Source organism: Homo sapiens, chromosome 8, assembly GCF_000001405.40.
Source record: "Homo sapiens chromosome 8, GRCh38.p14 Primary Assembly".
NCBI lineage: Eukaryota > Metazoa > Chordata > Mammalia > Primates > Hominidae > Homo > Homo sapiens.
In genome coordinates, this window is record NC_000008.11 from 98,189,065 (window position 1) to 98,210,084 (window position 21,020).

Sequence of the window (21,020 nt, forward strand, 5' to 3'; positions counted from 1 at the left end):
CCTGGGTGGAAAGGCTCTTCCCTGCATTTACCACAATTGCTAAAATGCTAGGTTTAATAGCTCAAGGCTGGTCTATATTTGCATGGAAACTGTGTATGTGTGGAATTTTATTTTATTGTTTTACTTCAAGATGGTCATAATAAGAGCCAGACTGTTGATGAGTCTAACGATTAGAAGCAGCCTCTAAATTCCCCATACAATCACGTTGGGTTCAATTTTGAGATTTTATTCTAATAGTTCAAAATGTGTGGTGTTTATCTAGCAACCTCACTAAAGGACTCACATTCACTGGTGCCAAACATGTGCATTAGCCTTGCAGCCGCCCAGTGCAAAGACTGCCTCTATAACCAGCCACAGAGTTTAAGTAAAGCAGTCTGGAAGAGTGTTGGGAAGGTTCATGTCAGTAACTGCTATATTTATGTCCACCATATCACTGTTAAATTGGCAAGCACTGAGGCAGCCTTCAGCATGGCTGAGTGTGTACACTCACCATTCCTGGATGAGTTGCGTGCTTGGAAACAGGAGCACAAAGAGGGTGCTTGGCTTAGGGAACTTGGCTCGACATTTCTATCTCTTTGAGTTATGTCCACCATTACACCTGCGTCCTTTGGAGCCAAACTTACACATTACCACCATTACTCTTTCATAGCACTGAAATTGTACTCATCTATGAAATCTGCCTTTCTCTTTCTTACATTGCCACAGAACAGAATCTCTAGGAGTGTGTGGGGTATTGAAGAGGGGGAAGAATACATTCTGGGTCACTGCTTGAGAAATTTTTTTATTGTATTTGTTTTCAAGTGATTCTGGTAACCAAAGTATTACAGTTACAGGGCAAGCAAACATTTAAGCCAAAAAACAATCATATGGCAAAGGCCTCTGCTTTAATCTACTACATGAGAGGTCATTGTTACTCATTTCCAAAGCTGTTATAGACTTGGAATGTGGAATTGGAGAGGCTTTTCGAATGTAGTTAGTGGTGTTCACAAAAGAACCACTGCCTTTCAACTTGGACCCTAAGAATGAACTTATCACTTCCATTTAGAACTTATATAAGCAAAAATATCTGAAGGCAAATATCAAGCCATGTTTCCACACTCCCAAAGTATCTCATTTGTCATGAGCCATGAGTGTCACTTTTTAAACTCCTTCCCTGAATGCCCAATCAACAGGAAAGAAGCTGCAGAGCAAGGGCAGAAGAGTCTAGACCAGGTGTTGGGAACTATAGCTCACAGACTGGCCACTTGTTTTTGTTTGTTTGTTTGTTTGTTTGTTTTTGAGACAGTCTTACTCTGTCGCCCAGGCTGGAGTGCAATGGCATGATCTCGGCTCACTGCAACCTCCACCTCCCGGGTTCAAGTGATTCTCCTGCCTCAGCCTCCCAGGTAGCTGGGACTCCAGGCACCCACCGTCATGCCTGGCTAATTTTTGTACTTTTAGTAGAGATGGGGTTTCACTATGTTGACCAGGCTGGTCCCAAACTCCTAACCTCAGATGATCTGTCAGCCTCAGCCTCCCAGAGTGCTGGGATTACAGGCATGAGCCACCATGCCTGGCCTGTAAATAAAGTTTTACTGGAACACAGCCATGCTCTTCTGTTTACATCTTGTCTATGGCTGCTTTAGTGCTACAATGGCAGAGTTGGGTAGTTGGGACAGACACCATGTCTGTCTGTTGGTACAGACAACACAAACTCCAAAATATGTACTCTGTGGGTCTTTACTGAAAACTTTGCCGACCCTTGGTCTAGACAGATAGTCAGATGAGCTAACAGTTGGCTAAAGGTCCTCAACTCACAATGCCAAGAGAAGGACTGAGTTGGCTTTAGTTGTTGTCATGCACTGTGTAATTTAAAAAATCTTACAGGCCAGTACAACTAAAACTCCTATTTACCTTACTTTGGAGCAACAATATGGAAAGTAAAACTAGGTCTGAATATATTTTATATGTTACCTGGACTTCTAAAACATTGTTGATTGCTTAAATGTGCATAAGTCAATGTCATTTCTCAAAACGTTTAATAGATGCAACTGTTGGCGGCTGCTAAAGTACTGGTGTTATGCTTGTGCCTGTGTGAAATTCTACAGTGCTGAAAATCTCATGCACTCTAGCTATGAATGCAGGTCTACTTGAAGCAAAACTCTTCAATCTAATTGTTTTCTCAATCTTTGTAAACCAGTTTTAAGAGTCACCAGAAATCTGTAGTTTAAGGCACCAGATACATTTCTTGGCTGAGCCTTGTAGGACCAATATGCTGGACCAATTCGGTAAAATACACCATAAATTATGACTGCTTTATCTGAATGCATGGGACACTTGCTACGATGGCGGGAATTATTACCAGGAGTTTAGGAGCCAGACATGGGTTCTGTATTTTTCATACATTGGTGATCAATTCAAATCTCTTTCCTTTGCAGCCAGGTTTGGTCAGTCTGGCCAGGAGTGCAGATTATGACAAAGAACAAAGCTAAAAGACCTGAGCCATTAAGGTTACAGTCTCAATACCACCGAGTTAAACAACCTATTTAAATGCAAGACTATTGATTGGAATGATATTGGACAGACATGTCAGAAGTGATCTGAAGGCTTTGAAATGTCATTAAGGGTGGGACTTATTGTTGGATGTTGGCTGCAACGAAGGCTACTTCTTTTCTTCTCCTTTAAATATTAGGTAGATCATAAATAACAGATATTATTATGGATTCTACCTGCAAATGTGTCTTAGCAGATATGTGATGAATTGGAGTGGAAAAGCCATTCAGGAAACAGGAGGACTTGGGCTTCCTCTTGAAGCTCAGGTTTGACCACTGGGTTGTTTTCTATGTCTACAGGTTTAAATGGCTGAAATTCAGTTCTCTAATCACAACTCTCCTTTTATCTAGAAGAATTTACAAAGCTTGAGGTAATGACTTTGGGAAGAAATGATGTGTAGTGAAACTATCACTAAGAATTTAAATGTGATTTTTTAGACTTATATGGAGAATAAGACATATAAATCCACTTGATAAATTATAAGATCTATAAAAAAGACATAGGATATTAAATTTTTCTTCAGTTTCAAGTATGATAGAATCATACAGCTGAAGAAAACATCACCATTCTAGATTTTTATTAAAAAATAAACAAACATTAGTCCTACTTTTTGTCTCTAACGCTTCATGAATTTATGTGTCAGCCTTGTGCAGGGGCTGTGCTAATCTCTGCATTGTTCCTATTTTAGTACATGGGCTACTGAAACAAGCAGAGTCCTACTTCTTAAACTTCCTCTTCCTTACACGTAAAAAGCCCACCAGTCAAGGTCTTTTAATTTTGGTGTACACTATCACTGAATGCCATTTATAAATTCTAATTTTAAAGAGACCCTTAATTTTCAAAGGAGGACTTTGATAGCATTAGTTTTCAGAAAAGATGACTTGCAATTCTAACTTAGTACTTGAAAGGTGAGATTTTTATAGGGAGGCTTATAAAAGGTGTCTTAGAAAAAAAATGAGCGCTCTCAAACCTTTCTTTTGGGAGTGAGGTTGTGGGGCTGAAGTGACTTTTTAAAGTGAAGCAACTGACACTACCCGTGGGAGAAGCCACCTATGCGACCTGTGGCCAAACCGCAAATGTATGTTTCTGTGCAACATTCCTGCTAGAGCAGCCGGGCTCTGAGTAAGGTGTAGCTGGCTAGATAATCACTAGGGAGAGGTCCAGGGTGTGGGGAACACTCCAAATCACATTCCATGGAAATATTAGACTGTCAGAGCTTAGGAAGTCCCCGATTGTCCATAGACGCTGAGGTGGGGGAAAGGACTGAAATGAATGCTAGCACATGTTAGCTTATAAAAGAGCTGCTGACACAAATTGAACATGTGCAATTTTTTAAAAAGGTGGTATCGAATAACAGGCCAACAGCCATCCTTCTCAGCATTTAGACCTCTTTCTTCTCTCCACTTTGGCTCTTTGTTGAGTCACTTCCATCAGGCAAAGTTCCATAGGATAAGCTATGTGAATCTGGTTGTATTTTGTCCAACATTTGTTTCCCTGTGGAGATAATAATCATAGAGAATCTTTTGAGGTCTTACAGAAAAATAAGTCTTAATAATTTCTCCTCAATCTAGGCCACATTTTATCACCTCTCTTTTATACTATGTGGGCACTCTCTAAAGAGAAGAGATGAATATCAAGGAAGAAAAGGCCCTTGAAACGCCATGTCTGTAGCTATGTGATAGCGAATTGTCTGTGTCAGAGCCACTATCCCCACCCCACAGGATCTACATGCTGGCCATGGAAATCAGGTGGGTTTAGTCTGGAGATTCACATGAAGCATTCACTCACCTCCAAGCCTTTCTCTCTGGGGTTGTGTCTTCTTTTCCACGTCGAATGCATATAACAACATAGAAAAATAGCCTTTGATAGTGACTTCTAAAGCTACTACGGAGCCTATGCACTGAGCTTTGTGAAATAAAAAATAGAGTTAAAAATAATCAGGCTCGGTGCAGTGGCTCACACCTATCATCCCAGCACATTGGGAGGCCGAGGCAGGCGAATCATTTGAGGTCAGGAATTCGAGACCAGCCTGGCCAACATGGTGAAAACCCACCTCTGCTAAAAATACAAAAATTAGCCGGGCATGGTGGTGCCTACTCGGGAGGCTGAGACACGAGAATCACTTGAACCCGGGAGGGGGAGGCTGCAGTAAGCTGAGATTGTGCCACTGCACTCCAGCCTGGGCAACAGAGCAAGACTCCATCTCAAAAAAAAAAAAAAAAGTCAAACTTTATTTCCTATCAAAGAACCTCTAACCATATAAGGCTTCTATCACAAGCACCTTTGCCACTGATGCCAATTCTTTCATTGACTGCTCCCAGCAGATAAGATGGCTCGAATGGCAAAGAGAACACAGAATTCATTGCATGGGGCCATATTTCTCAGTCTTAGGGATGAGGCTTCCCTAGTTTTTGCTTCACAGGCATGGTGCTAACAGAATGGTGGAGAAAGCTGTGAGAATGTCTCCACTCCTGCCTGGAAACCTATAGGTCCCCCTACATCCCCAGTAAGGCTGGAGAGTGCTGAGGGCGGGTGGACAGGGGAAGAGGTGACACAGCAGACAGTTTCCTTTGTCCTGGACTTGGCTTTTGTTGTCTACATGACTAGGCGAGTTATTTCTCAGTGAGAGTGAGAACGGGAAAGAGTGTTTGCTCTCTGGGTAGGCGGGGTGAGGAAGGGGGAAGAAACTACTCATGTTTTGGTGACTGTCCTGAGCCACAGTGCACAGGCCACCTCAGGCTTCCCCCAAGACATGCTCCTTAGCTGCCTACCCTTTGTCCTTGGATGTTCCTTCAAGGCTCTCAAAGTGGCAGGGGTCTGCTGCTGGTAGTCATTGCTACTCTTTTCTCTACCCTTTTCCAATTTAAGGAAACCCAAAAAGGAAATCCTCCAAATCACCCAAATCGAGGAAACATGGTCAGTTCTTTTATATCCCCAGTTCTGTGCAAAACTGACATTCAATAAATTATTAGAAACATTTACACTGAAAATAGCACCTTTGGTTTCATTATTAAATGTACATTTTTTAGGATAAGAATTATGTTTTATATTAACTTACCACCCAAAATAATACCAATAACTATTCATTTATAAGGATCAAATTTTCCACTATAAAGAATATATGATTTTACCAGGAATATTTCCAAAATCAATATAAGACTGTTGCAGATGTTCCTTTTCTCGATTTCTTGTGACCAAAAATACACCAAGGAATGACAGAAAACACCTGTAAGGATAATATTAATAAAGAATACAAGAACACTGAAACAGACTCATGGTATTAAATAACTGAGCTCCATATTCTACATGATGACATAAATCCCATTGGTTTTGTTCTTCCAGTTTCTCATGGTAAGCTTCCTAGTACTTGTCTTAATTAGCACAGCCAATAGTTCTACCCAGAACCAAGACTTGGGCAGATTCCAGTAGATCTCTGGCCCAGGTTTTTACCATCTGGGGGCTAACTCAGGCTCAAAACCCTTGGGGACACCCTGTCTCATTTTCTGCCCATGCACGCCCAGATCCATTTCTGGCATGTGACACAAGAGAAAAAATAATTTATTCTTTAATTTTCTAAGAAATCTAGTTTTCCTTGGCCATAAGAGTAGTCATAATTTCCAGACCTCAGAAGTTTGGCCTTGCCCAATTATCTTATGAAATTGAATTTTCAAGATAGATGGCTTCCTACACCGAAAATAGCCTAGGCTCAAGTTTGCATAACAATGATCATGCTGACTACTAGATCAAGGAGCAGCTAAACATTTAATGAAGTGCCTCATGGAGTCATGGAAGCTCCTATACACTGGTGATATATTGTCAAAGTTCTGCTCTCTGTTTGCAAGCAATGCTAGCAATGATGCCCACCAAATCTCTAGGGAGAGCTCAAGCTGCACACTCTTAACACAAGAAAGGGATGCTACCAACCTGATATTATCATGACTAAAGCAAGGGATCTGCCCATCTTGGCCTTTTATTTTGGGCGACCCTAGAGGATCATGATTCTCTAATTTAGATCTAATCTAGGGGTTCCCAAGAGCGAAGTAGGTCTGATACAGTACAGAAAGGTCGTGCAGTAACTACAAGGGCCAGTGGATGTATCTTGTCTTTGGCCTGGAATTGGAAATCCCCAATGTTTCAGAACAGCAGAGATATACCTAAGTCACAAAGCCAAAGACGCTGAGCCCTGTTTAGGGCCTTAAGTTAAAAAATATGTTTCTTTTAGGAGCTCAGGAAACTGATGTTTCTTATATTATTTTCCAATTTTCTATACCTCCGGTACAATGCCGAAAATCCTACGTAAAAGTAATAGAATTTCACATGCTTTACCTCTGAGACATTTACTCACCCAAAAAGATATATAAATACAGTGAGAAAAGGAGCACCAAGGAATTCCTGATAAAATATGATACCTGTAACACAGGAAAAGAAGACAAAATTGATTTTGAAGTAAGGTTATTTATAATAGCTAAATATTGTTTGTAAAATTATGTTAATATGTTATTTTTTCAAAGTAAATTTAGTCATCCTTAAAATGCACATTCAGCAGTTTAGTTTAAGAAAATTTGCATGCCACACATTCTGAATTATTCCAAAAAGAACATAGATTTGTAAATCTGATATAATTATCATTATTATAAAAGAAACATAATTGACATATATTTGCAAGCAGAAATTTCTCATCCAGCCCAGGATTGCCCAACTGGAACATACAAGAAAACAACACTCTAGCAACTATTCCCCACCTGCAGTTTTAGGTCAGGGGTCAGCCAGCCTGGCCTGAGAGTCTGGGTAGACTCTGGGGCCTCTGACATGGCAGGTCCACCTCAGGCCAGCTGCTGCCACCCATGCTGTCACTCGTGGAGATGCCCAGTGATCTGTTGGTCTGGCCACATGGCGACTCAAGTGCCAAAGCACACTCTAGCAGCTGAAGTGCTACCTTAGCTCTACTTCCCACTGCCAAGCCCCCTCTCATCTTCTTCTGGTCTTCCAAAGGTAAACAAGGATGCATCATCTACTTTGATGAACTTTGCTTCTCTCCGTCTTGGTCTCAATGATTTCTTCTGTAAAGTTCCAAAGCCTTCATAGAGTTTTTGTTAAGATATCTTTAAGTTATATGTTGCCTGGAATTAATTTTTTATGTGTGTGGTGTTATCCTTGTTAGCCAGCCAACCAATATTTATTGAACGTCTGCTGTGCGTCAGCCACTGCTCTAGGTCTTGGAGAAATGACAAGACAGAGACCTATCCTCAAGGAGCTTTCTCATTCTTCACCTTATCTCCTTACCTAGGGAATGAACTTCTTACAGGAAGAAGCCATGTCCAGTTCTAATGAATATTTGTTGAATGAATGAAACTTTCTGAAGCACACTCCAGGTTATTACATACTTCCTTATAATCATTTTAATGTTTTCATGTTATTTTAAACGATATACCATAATATTCATTTCTTTAAGGGCATTTCAAGTTGGTTCTACATCTTTTTTCTCTTTTTTTTTTTTCAATTTTTTTCTTCAGTAAAGCAGCAATGTACTTCTTCGTACAGGTGTATCTTGGAGATATGTGGGTTTGGTTCCAGACCACATCACAATAAAGCTAATCTCTCAATAAAGCAAGTCACACTAAATTTTTGGTTTCCCAGTGTACATAAAAGTTATGTTTACACTGTACTGTAGTTTATCAAATGTGCAATAGCATTATGTCTAAAAAAAGTACATACCTTAATTAAAATACTTTATTGCTAAAAATGCTAATGATCATCTGAGCTTGCAGTGAGTCCTATCTTTTTGCTAGTTGTAGGGACTTTCCTCAGTGTTGATGGTTGTTGATTGATCAGGGTGGTGGTTGCTGAAGGTTGGGGTGGCTGTGGCAACTTCTTAAGATAAGACAATAATGAAGTTTGCCACATCGATTAACTCTTTCATGAAAGATTTCTTTGTAGCATGCCATACTGTTTGACAGCATTTGACTTGCAGTAGAAATTCTTTCAAAATCTCTACTTAATCTTCTCGAACACAGCTGCTGCTTTATCAACTAAGTTACTGAAATATTCTAAATCCTTTGTTTTCATTTCAACAATGTTCCTAGCATCTTCACCAAGAGTAGTTTCCACTTTAAGAAACCACTTTGTTTGCTCTTTTATAAAAAGCAACTCCTCATCCATTAAAGTTTGATTATGAAGTTGTAGCAGTTCAGTCACATCTTCAGGCTCCACTTCTAATTCTAGTTCTTTTCCTATTTCCATCACATCTGCAGTTACTGCCTTCTCTGAAGTCTTGAACCTTTCAAAATCATCCAGGAGGGTTAGAATAGACTTCTTCCAAACTCCTGTTAATGTGCATATTTTAGCCTCCTCCCATGAATCACAAAAGTTCTTAATGACATCAAGAAAATCAGAAAGTTTTCAATTTACTTTGCTAAGATCAATCGGCAGAATCATTATCTATGACAGCTACAGCCTTACAAAATGTATTTCTTAAATAATAAGACTTGAAAGTCAAAATTACTCATTGATCCATGGGCTGCAGAATGAATGTTGTGTTAGCAGGCATGAAAACAACATTCATCTCTTTGTACATCTCCACAAGAGCTCTTGGGTGATCAGGTTCATTGACAATAAGCAGTAATATTTTGAAAGGACTCTTTTTCCTGGTCAGTAGGTCTCAACAGTGGGTTTAAAATATTCAGTAACCCATGCCATAAACAGATGTGTTGTTATCCAGGCTTAGTTGTTTCATTTAAAGAGTGCAGGCAGAGTAGATTTAGCATAATTCTTAAGGGCCCTATGGTTTTCAGAATGGTTAATAAGCATTGGCTTCAAATTAAAGTGCCCAGCTGCATTATTCCTCACAAGAGAGTCAGCCTGTCCTTTGAAGCTTTGAAATCAGACATTTACTTCTCCTCTTTAGCCATGAAAGTCCTAGATGGTGTCTTCTTCTAATAGAAGGTGGTTTTGTCTACATTGAAAATCTGTATTTTAGTGTAGCCACCTTCATCAATGATCTTAGCTAGATGTTCCAGACAACTTGCTGCAGCTTTTACATCAGCACTTGCTGCTTCATCTTGTATTTATGATATGAGGATGGCTTCTTTCCTTAAACCTCATCAACCAACCTCTGATAGCTTCAAACTTTTCTTCTGTCATTTCTTCACCTCTCTTAGCCTTCATAGAATGAAAAGAGTTACGGCCTTGCTCTGGTTTAGGTGTTGGCTTAAGGGAATGTTGTGACTGGTTTGATCTGTCCAGACCACTCAAACTTCCTTTATATCAGTGATAAGGTTGCTTTACTTTCTTATCATTCATGTGATCACTGGAGTAGCATGTTAAATTTCCTTCAAAAAGTTTTTTTCTTTTTCTTTTTCTTTTCTTTTTTTTTTTTTTGAGACAGAGTTTCACTCTTGTTGCCCAGGCTGGAGTGCAATGGTGCCATCTTGGCTCACTGCAACCTCCGCCTCCTGGGTTCAAGCAATTCTCCTGCCTCAGCTTCCCAAGTAGCTGCGATTACAGTCATGTGCCACCATGCCCGGCTAATTTTGTATTTTTAGTAGAGACAGGGTTTCTCTGTGTTGGTCAGGCTGGTCTCGAACTCCCAACCTCAGGTGATCCGCCCGCCTCAGCCTCCCAAAGTGCTGGGATTACAGACATGAGACACTGCACCCGGCCCAAAAACTTTTTTCTTTTGCATTCACAACTTGGCTAAATGTTTGGTGCAGAAGGTCTACCTTTCAGCCTATCTTGGCTTTTGACATGCCTTCCTCACTAAGCTTAATCGTTTCTAGCTTTTGACTTAAGGGAAGGATTGTGGGATGCTTCCTTTCATCTGAACAGTTACAGGCCATTGTAGGGTTATTATATTTAATAATATAGTCAGATTTCAATATTATTGTGTCTCAGGGAATAAGGAGGCCCAAGGGGAAGGAGAGAGATGTGGGAACAGCTGGTCAGTGGAGCATCAGAACACATACATTTATTGATAAGTTGGCAGTCTTACACAGGTGCAGTTTGTGGTGTCTCAAAACAATTATGGTAGTAGCATTAAAGATCACTGATCACAGATCACCGTAACAGATATAATAATAACAAACTTGAAATAATGCAAGAATTACTAAAACGTGACACAGAGATATGAAGTGAGGACATGCTGTTGGAAAAATGATTCCAACAGACTTGTTCGATGCAGGATTATCACAAACCTTCAATTTGTAAAAAATGCAATATCTGCAGAGCACAATAAAATGCGGTATGCCTCATCAACACATTTTCCCAGGTATTTTATGAATTTTTGTGGGGTTTTTTAGAAGTGGAATTTCTGTTTCCAGAGATTTTCTTGGTCCTCCAAGAAAATCTTTATTTATTTATTTTTAACTTTTATTTATTTAGAGATAAGGTCCTGCTCCGTCACCCAGGCTGGAGAGTAGTGGCGTGATTATAGCTTACTGTAACCTTGAACTTCTAGGTCAAACAATCCTACCGCCTCAGCCTCCTGAGTAGCTGGGACTAAAGGTGTGCACTGCCACACCTGGCTATTTTTTCCCAATTTAGAAACGTTGTAGTAAAATATACATAACATAAAATTTACCATCTCGATCTTTTGTTTTCAGTGTATAGTTCAGTAGTGATAAGTAGGTTCATACTGTTTTGCAACCAATTTCCAGAACTTTTTCATCTTGCAAAACTAAAATTCTATTCCCATTATACAACTCATTTCCTCCTCCCCGCAGCCCTCATTCTACTTTTGTTTCCATAAATCTCACTACTCTAGATATCGCATATAAGTGGAATCATAGAATATTTTTATTTTTGTGACTGGCTTATTTCACTTACCATAATGTTCTCAAGGTTCATCTATGTTGTGGCATGTGTTATAATTTCCTTCCTTTTAAAAGCTGAATATATTCCATTGTATATATATACCACATTTTGTTTATTTATTCATCTGTTGATGGACATCTGGGTTGCTTCTACCTTCTGTCTATTGTGAATAATGCTGCTATGAACATACATATACAAATGTCTTTTCAAGACCTTGCTTTTAATTCTCTTGCCTAGAAGTGAAATTACTAGATCATATGGTAATTCCATTTTTAATTTTTTGAGGAACTGCCACACTGTTTTCCATAATGGCTGCACCATTTACATCCCCACCAATGGTGTACAAAAGTTCCAGTTGATCCACATCCTCACCACCATTTGTTGTTTTTTCTTGTTAATAGCAGCCATCCTATTGGGTGTGAGATTATATCTCATTGTGGTTTTGATTTGCATTTCCCTTATGATTAGAAGTGTTGAACATCTTTTCACATCTTTTGGCCATTTGTGTATCTTCTTTTCAAGAACATCTATTCAAGTTCTTTTCCCATTTTAAAATCAGGTTATTTGGGTTTTTGTTGTTGACTTGTAGAATCAAAGAGTAGAAATATTGTTAAGGCTTTTGATAAAAACTACAAAACTCAGTTCTAGGAGGGTGGCGGCATGTTACCTAGCCCATAAGAATGCCTGTGATACTGTAGCCTTATCAGCATTGGATATTGCAATAAAAAGAACAAACAAAACTTGACTAATTAGTAGGCAAAATACGGTCTCATCTTAATTGTAAGCTATGCTTTCTCATGGAGGCAGAGAGGAGAAGTAGTTGGCAAGCTCCACCACCATTCCACTCACCAATAACATCAGAGGGACTCTTATGACTCCCAAAAGGTCTTGCCATCCCACCGACTCATCAATTACTCTGTATGCTGAGTATTAAGACCCAGCCCTGTTGGTCCTCCTAGAAAATCTTTATTTATTTATTTTTAACTTTTATTTTTTTAGAGATGGGGTCCGGCTGTGTCACCCAGGCTTGAGAGCAGTGGTGTGACTATAGCTCACTGTAACCTCGAACTTCTGGGTTCAAGCGATCCTCCTGCCTTAGCCTCCTGAGTAGCTGGGAATACAGGTCCGTGCCACCATACCTGGCTGATTTTCCCCCTAATTTGTTAGAGATGACATCTTGCTATGTTCCCAGGCTGCAGAAAATCTTCCGATCAGGGCAACTATATTCTTTATGCACATTAATATTAACTATCAGGCTTATGTCATTTCTATGTCTCTTTTTGGCCTATTTTCCTTTTCCAATAATTCTAAGACACATCAATATGCAATCTTTTCTTAATTTATTAACTAGCTTAAAATACTAAAAAATTAGATGTCATGGGATAGAATATTTTCTTTAAATATTAAGTTTCAATTTTGGGAAACAGAAAATGCATTAATTACTTTAAAGAACTACCCACTGACAGTCACATTGTTTTCCATAAAATGAAAAAAAAATGTGCCAGTTAGGAAACAGACAATCCTCAGTTACTCCTCCAAATACATAAACTTTACATTGAGAAATGAACTCTCAAGATCAAGAAGGTGGTAAATACATCAGATAAGCCAATGAATGAGGGCATACCAGTACCAAATATAGAAATGGTATACTCAAATCAACTGTTTTTGGTTTGGACCGAGTTTCAAATTTATACTTTTAGTTTTAATGCTATCATGCCTGTCATATTTTAAAAAATGGTCCATACTAATAAAAGAACTGCAATAGTAGAAAAATAGAGGCCAGAATAGCAAAGGCAGTAGTTTCTATTCTTGTCTCTCAGGCTTGCCCTGGAACATTGAATTCAGTTTTGGATTGTACTGTCTGATCGAGCTGGTGAGGGGCATATAGGGAAGAGTTAGTAGAATTGGGCATGTATGGCCCAGAGACAAGACTCAAGAGGACCTTTCAGTTGCTTTGATGATCAGAAGGGCTGATATAGCTTGGATATCTGTCCCCTCCAAATCATATGTTGAAATGTGATCCCCAAATGCTGGAGGTGGGGCCTAGAGGAAGGTGTGTGGGTCCTGAGGGTGGATCCTTCACGAATGGTTTGGTGTCCTCTGTCAGTACTGAGTTCATATGAGATCTGGTTGTTAAAGAGACTGGGACCTACCCCTCTCCCTCGCCCCATCTCTTGCTATGTGACGTGTCTGTTCTCCCTTTGCCTTCTACCATGAGTAAAAGCTTCCTGAGGTCCTGACAAGAAGCAGATGCTGGCACCATGCTTCTGTACAGCCTGCAGAACCATGAGGCAAATAAACCTCTTTTAAAAATAAATTACTCCGTCTCAGGTATTCCTTTATAGCAACACAAAATGGACTAATCCAAGGGCTGGCAAGGGAAAGACTCCAACAAGAACAAAGATGAGTGTCTTAAATTTGCAAGGAAACTCATTTCAGCTCCAATATAAGAAAACACTTTCTACTTAGAAATCTCCAGAGAATGAGAGTGATCCAAAGCAGGACTGAGCTGACCCAGGAGGCAGAGAGCATTCACACAAAGTAGAGGAACCTCTCCTGGAAGATTGTCATAGGGGAAATTCAGACACCAGGTGGAGGCAACACAGATCCTTACAACCTAAAGATTTCTGGATTCTCTCATTTACTCTGGGAGAAACTTCATTTATGCTTGGAATCACCAATGTATAGAAAACCAAAACTCACCTGCAATGATGGCACTGATTGTAAAGAAAATATGATTAACTGGCACCACTGTTGTCGTATTGTAGAGTTTCGTGGCTTGATTCAGGAACCTAGGGCAGAAGGCACTTACTGGAGCTTTGGCTTTAGGAGACATTCAGCAATAAGTTAACAATAACTTCAAGAAACACGTGTTCTTTAGCTACAACTACAAAGGGAAAGGAGGTGCAGTGAAAGGGCATTTCCAATCAGCAGTCATAGCTTATATGCATCTGATGTATGAGATCAGATGTCAGGTTCTATGGTCTGTTTAAACCAACAACAGTAACAATGAAAAGCAATTAATCATATTCCGAGGCCACAGAAGTTTGAGTTGGAAGCGATTCAAGCTGCTGGACCAGTATCACACTGGGCCTGATTCATTAGGATAGACCCCAGAATCTGTTAAATATCATATCTGGGGAATAGTAGAGCTATCCATTGACATGCCACGTGCCAAGAAAGAAGATGGAGAAGTAAAGGAATGTTTAATGTTTCAAAAACAATGCTCAGTGCTCCAGCTGCAGAGCACATGTGGGAGCTCAGCTTCTCATTCTGGCCACCAACACAAATGCAGTTCCCACAACTGTGCTGTGCTGCCCTGCTAGGGACTAGATTGTTTTTTGAAGCAGTGAATTGCACTATCACCAGGGTGCTTTTAAAAAGCACTAATGCTTAGGTCCTACTCTAGAGAAATTGAAAAAAGTACTTTGTGGGTAGAGCCTGTGTGTGTGTGTGTGTGTGTGTGTGTGTGTGTACATACACATATGTAGGTATACGTAAATGCATGTATGTGCATGTATGCCTGCAAGTACATATACGTACAAAAGCCAGGTCATATACATGCATGTACATATGTATGTACAAAAACCAGGTCATTTTAATGGGCAACCAGGGCTGAGAACCACAGTCGTACAGTGTGATGGGTGCAGGAGACTGAGACAAGGGTGACAGGATGCAGTTTACCCCCAATTGTGTCTGCCTGTCAAATTTACAAAGTATGGTATGAAGATAATGCCACTAATCCCAAAAGATACTGTGGCAGTACCAATTAATTCAGAAGAAACAGATAAATGAAATAGCAAATGCAAGTATTAGAAACACAGGCTTATAAGGAGATGACAAACCAGTGACAAAACATTGGGTTTTTCCAGTAATTCTCCATAGACCTTGTAACAGGGCCTATCTTCAGCCCATAACAATTAGACGGTATTTCTCACACCTACAGAAGGAACCACTCTTGTACTGATTTTGAGCTCTGATTTCTTATCTGGGATGGTGCTTTTGCATAGCATTTTGGGGTGAACAGAAAACTTTCAGGTCAACTCAAGAAAGCCCAGCAGGCAAAGGCACAATCCCAATGTGAGAGATAGAGGGGAAGTGATTAGAGTTGATGGAGTGGGGGCAGGGAAGAGCAGAAATTAAAAACGTTCCATGTCACCACTATTAGGCCTCAAGAGAAACATAAAACAATCATTCCGCAATCCCATGGATACAAAGGAAATTCTGGCCAAAGATGCAAAATTTTGGGGAAAGGATTTCCCTCCCGGCCAAATGTCTGGTTTCGTCCTTCTCTGGGCAATTAGTGAGCATGAGCTAAGAAATGAAGGTGAAGGGTTCATGTGTGTCCTATATTTAGAATGAAAGCCTGGATGTGGACCTGCCCCTTTGATTTATTGCTAATGACAACCTGTGTACCACAGATATTAATTACAAGCAGAAGAGCATCAGGAAAGTATCAAAGTGCACTTAGCTGGATTAAGGCTGCGCTTTAGAACTCACAAGACATGAAGGCAACGCTTCATAAAAACTCATTATTGGATGCAAAGGAGGAAGCAAGGCATGTTGGCTGAGGACAAGCTACAGGCCCTTCACCCTTAGAAATCAGTTGTATCTCATTTTAATTATCATCTGAAGCCAGTAAAGATTAATGCCCAGAGAAGCACCGGAATGTTGAAAGATTAGTGAGTATGCAGAAGCTAACTTACTTGACTTGGAAAACACAAGATGCTATCATGATGATAAACATGATATAGAAAATGGGGTAAGTTAGTTGCATTTTATCCATCACAGAAAAAGTGATCATGCCTGAGACGGCCTTTACTGAAATAACAGTCAATGAGGCTGAAAAAGAAAACAAAAAACACAAATAAAGAACATATTTCAGATTGAATTAACAAATATCTTAAGCTTATGTAGTAGAGTAGCAAATATACCAATTATGGTTTAAGAATGAACACAGTTGTGAGAGGTGTAGGAAGGGATGTGACATTAGTAAGCAGTGGCCTTGTTGCTCGAGCCGTGCTGGATATCAAATTTGCTTAAATCAGCTAAAGATCTGCTGTGTGACTGTGTGTTTTTTTTTTTTATCTGTGGAGCAAGATGCTTCTTTTCCATCCCTAACTGTTGAAAGAATGCTGTGGAGGTTATAATTACTAGTAGATGGGAAAGGCAAAAACAATGGAGGGAGGAGATAAGAAAAGTCAGATTGTCCATGTGACATTAATGAGAAAATAACTATTAAACTATACTGAAAATTTAAAAACCAAGTAGATGAGAAGACTGGAAAGTGAAATGCAACTCACTTCTTGAGTTTACTTAGAGTTGTACTAAGTCATTGCTTCTCAGCCTTTTGGCTAAAATCAAGTGAGTTGTACTAAGTCTATATGTGAGCCCTTTTGTTAGGAGACACCTAGAAGTTTCATTAAGAATATTTTTGACAATGACAATAATTGGAAGCAGGAGCAGAGTTGAGTATTCATTTCTCAGGGTGGACCATCAATTTAAGGTTTACATAAGCAATAGCTATTTATGTTCTATGCTAAAGTGGAACTCATCCCTTATGAGAACAAACTTTTCGTAGGTTCCAAACAGCAATTAAGAAAAAGTAACTTGATAAGGTTATATCACTATGAAAGTAATGGAGCATTTTCTGGCAACATCATCTTTCTGTAAGGAAGAAAAGAATGCTTTCTGTCTTATGTCCCTCGAAGTTACTGTTGCAAATAATTCCATAATTTAGCTAAAACTCACTGAAAGTTCAAAAATAATTTTTACATGAAATAAAAAAACTATAAGTCAAAGGCAATGCGAAGGAGAAATACTCCTTTTGTTGCTGTTGATCTACTTGGTCATAATATATCTGAGTTTCCTTCATTTTATTTGAAAAGGTATTTTATGTATGTGTGTGTGTGTATATATATATATGTATGTATGTATGTATGTATTTGAAATATATATATATTTAAAACAGCAAGTGGTGGCCAGCCAAGAAAAGCCTCCCATAATATCGTTTTCCAAAAACTGAAAATATACTTTAACTTGAAGGGTACTAGGGCACACTTCCAAATTAGGCATTTTCTTTTAGTTAAAAATCATAATTGGCCGGGCGCGGTGGCTCACACCTGTAATCCCAGCACTTTGGGAGGCCAAGGCGGGCGGATCATGAGGTCAGGAGATCGAGACCATCCCCTGGCTAGCACAGTGAAACCCTGTCTCTACTAAAAATACAAAAAATTAGCTGGGCATGGTGGTGGATGCCTGTATTCCCAGCTACTCGGGAGGCTGAGGCAGGAGAATGGCGTGAACCCAGGAGGCGGAGTTCGCAGAGGGCCACTGCACTCCAGCCTGGGTGACAGACCGAGACTCTGTCTCAAAAAAAAAAAAAAAAGGAAAAAAAAATCATAATTGACAGAGGAGATCAGGTGATAAATTCTAAAAACAAACCCCACTTCTCAACAAAGAGGCCCTTACAATCAGGCCTTTCTCCATCTTAAGATGTCTTTTGACCTGATTCTTTTACATATTTCCTACTGATTATGCTAGTAGCCACATCTTAGCTAAACTAGGCATTTTAAATATCTATAGAGATCTGTGTGTCACTTGATGGTTTAAGTTTGTAGGTTAGCTCTTGAGGGACCTTGATTTCCTTCTAAACACTGCCTGAAATTAGAACACAGTGTGATTATGATCTTGTGGTCTGAACAGCCAGGTTTCCCAACGGGACAATTAATGGAGAAGGAGTTGAACGTACTGTTCCATTAGCCTCAGAACCTCAGAATTGCAAAGGACCTTAAAGGTCATCTGATTTAACCACTATCTGATTTTATATTATACTTAAACACAAGACAAAGACAAAACTAGAATTCTCTGTTATTGATAGCTAAACAAACTATCAATTTCTGTAGCCAATCGTTACATTTTCAAAGCATGCACAATTGTCAACTGATTAATCACTATTTTAACCTGTAAATTATTTCTAGGCTGGTGTTGAGTACTTCTAAGTATTTTTGGGGGGTGGTTGATGAGGATAGGTGGAAATACATAATTGTAATGCAGTGTTCTTCTAACATTATACTTAAAAATAGAAGGTACTTAGGTAAGCACAGAAAAAAAGATGAGAATAAACTACATCAAGATATTGTCAGTGGTTATCTCTAGCACTGGGATAATGAATTAACTTGAAATTCATTAAAAAAATCTACAAAAGTAAACATATTCATTTAAAAATTTTTGGAAAATGTGGGAAAGCCTGGAAAGGAAAATTAAAATTGCCTGTAGTTTCAGCACTCACCTCAAATCATTTTTGACATTTGGACATGTTGTTATTTTCCTATCTATAAGTATGAATAGGTTACAACATGTGAATCATAAGGTATATGCTACTTAGGAGCTCATTTTCCAAGTATATACCACTTAGGAACCTATTTACCTAAAGTATTTTCTATTTCATTAAGTATTCTTCTAAACCATGAATTTGTATGAATTTATTTTGGCAATTCCCTATTTTTGGATATTTAGGTTGTATCCATTTTTTTTTTAACTATTAAAAGCGGGGCTGTGATGAATATTCTTGAACGTAAGTCTTTGTTTATCACTCTGCCTATTTCCTTAGGAAAACCACCAAAGGGGAATTCCTGACTACAGCCACTGTGAAGGCTTGTGAAATATACTAGCAAACTGCCTTCCAGAGAGTACCAGTCACACTCTGTTGTACAGTGCTCAATTGCACAGATTTTTGTATTTTTCTTTGTATCTTTCTCTATTTTCGTAATTGTCAATAATTACCATGTATACTTTCATCATTAGAACAACACCATTTTTTCTAAACATGTGCTGACCTGTTTTTGAAATTTGGCCCTCTCAATTCCCTCTTAGATTTTCATCAATATACCTCCTTTCAAAAATTTTTCTAGGTTGCCATCAACATTTCCTTATGAGAGCCATAAACATTTTATTTACTAATTTGTCTCTGATAACCAAAGCATTCCATGGATAGAGAAGGACTTCCTGGCCTTCCTGGTTTCCTGATCAACCCAGAGGCGTTAGAGTACTTTTTTTTTTGATGTGGAGTTTTGCTCTTGTGGCCCAGGCTGGAGTGCAATGGTGCGATCTTGGCTCACTGCAATCTCCACCTCGTGGGTTCAAATAATTGTCCTGCCTCAGCCTCCTGAGTAGCTGAGATTACAGGCACCCACAACCACACCTGGCTAATTTTTGTATTTTTAGTAGAGCTGGGGTTTCACCATGTTGGCCAGGCTGGTCTCAAACTCCTGACCTTAGGTGATCCACCTGCCATGGCCTCCCAAAGTGCTGGGATTACAGGTGTGAGCCATCACACCAGGCCTGGAGTCCTTTAAGAATGATCACCACTACTGGCAAAGTGGGCCACTCGCCAGAAGCCAGGTTTCTTTCTTCTGACTACCCTCACTTGCTATTTTCTTTTTTTTAATTCCATTTTTTATCAATCACACAAGCAATATCATGTACTTTGTTACGTCTCATGGATACAACATGACTTTCATAATTACTTTTTTAAAACGTACTAATGCTCATTTACAATATTCAAGATGAGCACACAGTGCAGAGTGAGCATCTTGGTTCTCATTTCTTGCTGTAATGAGAACGCTTCTGGTATTTCACCAACAAGTTCTTTATCAGGAGTGCATATGAAACTTGATGAACTATATTAATGAATTTCTTAAAGAATCCTTCTTTCATTCCCATAGTTAATTAAATTCAAATGTTTACTGTGTGATTACTGTGCTCAATTCTACTTAAAGAATATATACTGTAAATAATAGACATGCTCTAATCTGGCCAGGAAGAGGGGCTCATAACAGCATATAAACATATAAGTAGAATATGTAAGTGCAAATTGTTGTAAGTGTTACAGAGAAGAACCAGTTTTATTAAGACCACTTGGGCCAGGTGTGGTGGCCCATGCCTGTAATCCTAGCACTTTGGGAAGGTGAGGCAGGAGGATTGCTTGAGCCTAGGAGTTTGCAACCAGCCCGGGCAGCATGGGGATACCCTGTCTCTCCAAAAAAAAAAAAAAAAAAAAAAATTAGCCAGGCATGATGCCACGCATCTGTAGTCCCAGCTACTCAGGAGGCTGAGGTAGGAGGATCACTTGAGGCTGGGAGTTTGAAGCCGCAGTGAGCTATGATTGTGCCACTATACTCCAGACTGGGTGACAGAGCAAGGCTCTGTCTCAAAACAAAACAAAGACCATTTTGTCACTGAGTATGATTTGCTCTGTTTTATTTGCTAATTTTTTTTTTTTGGATTTTTGTATCAATATTTAGCAGTGATATTAGTTCATAGTGTTTTTTGTTTGTCCTATTTTGTTTCCCATTTTGGGAGGTGAGTCTCATCTGATTATGTTTTCTAAAAAGTAAAAGCTTTCTTCTTATGTCCTCAAATAGTTGCAACAGCATCAGAATAATCTATTCCTTAAGGATTTGAAGATATTACCTTTGGAACTCTCTAGGCCTGGTTCTTTTTTAGGATATAGCTTTTTAACAACTCCTTTATTTCCTCCATAGTTATTTTCATTAAAAAATAAGCAATTCATTCAAATTTATATATATGCATATCTATCTATCATTTCTATTTTGGGGTATTTGTGGTTTTTCTTTTTTTCTGATGGAGGATCTATTTTATTAGTTGTCTTTTAAGAA

At 39.1% G+C, this 21,020-nt stretch overlaps 1 protein-coding gene, 1 long non-coding RNA gene and 1 pseudogene across 8 annotated transcripts in view; 1 reads left to right on the top strand and 2 right to left on the bottom strand.

Annotated features, from left to right (window-relative positions):
• Window positions 1–21,020, top strand: part of NIPAL2-AS1 (NIPAL2 antisense RNA 1) — a 72,899-nt gene that overhangs the window by 12,595 nt on the left and 39,284 nt on the right. The gene's annotated exons all lie outside the window — the stretch shown is intronic.
• Window positions 762–21,020, bottom strand: part of NIPAL2 (NIPA like domain containing 2) — a 104,410-nt gene continuing 84,151 nt past the window's right edge. For 4 of the 7 annotated variants that reach the window (NR_135747.2, NR_135745.2, NR_135746.2 and 1 more), the window contains 5 exons: window positions 16,047–16,182; window positions 14,044–14,132; window positions 6,878–6,941; window positions 5,664–5,758; window positions 762–4,026 (listed from right to left, as the gene is read on the bottom strand). Coding sequence is in view for 3 of the 7 variants with exons in the window: in NM_001321635.2 (NP_001308564.1) it covers window positions 3,914–4,026; window positions 5,664–5,758; window positions 6,878–6,941; window positions 14,044–14,132; window positions 16,047–16,182 (497 nt within the window). In the remaining 4 variants the exon portion in view is untranslated. Of the gene's footprint in view, window positions 4,027–4,320; window positions 4,349–5,663; window positions 5,759–6,877; window positions 6,942–14,043; window positions 14,133–16,046; window positions 16,183–21,020 lie in introns of those variants that run through there. The other 3 variants (NM_024759.3, NM_001321636.2, XR_928352.4) reach the window with 3 other exon arrangements.
• RNU6-914P (RNA, U6 small nuclear 914, pseudogene) lies at window positions 3,151–3,243 on the bottom strand (annotated as a pseudogene).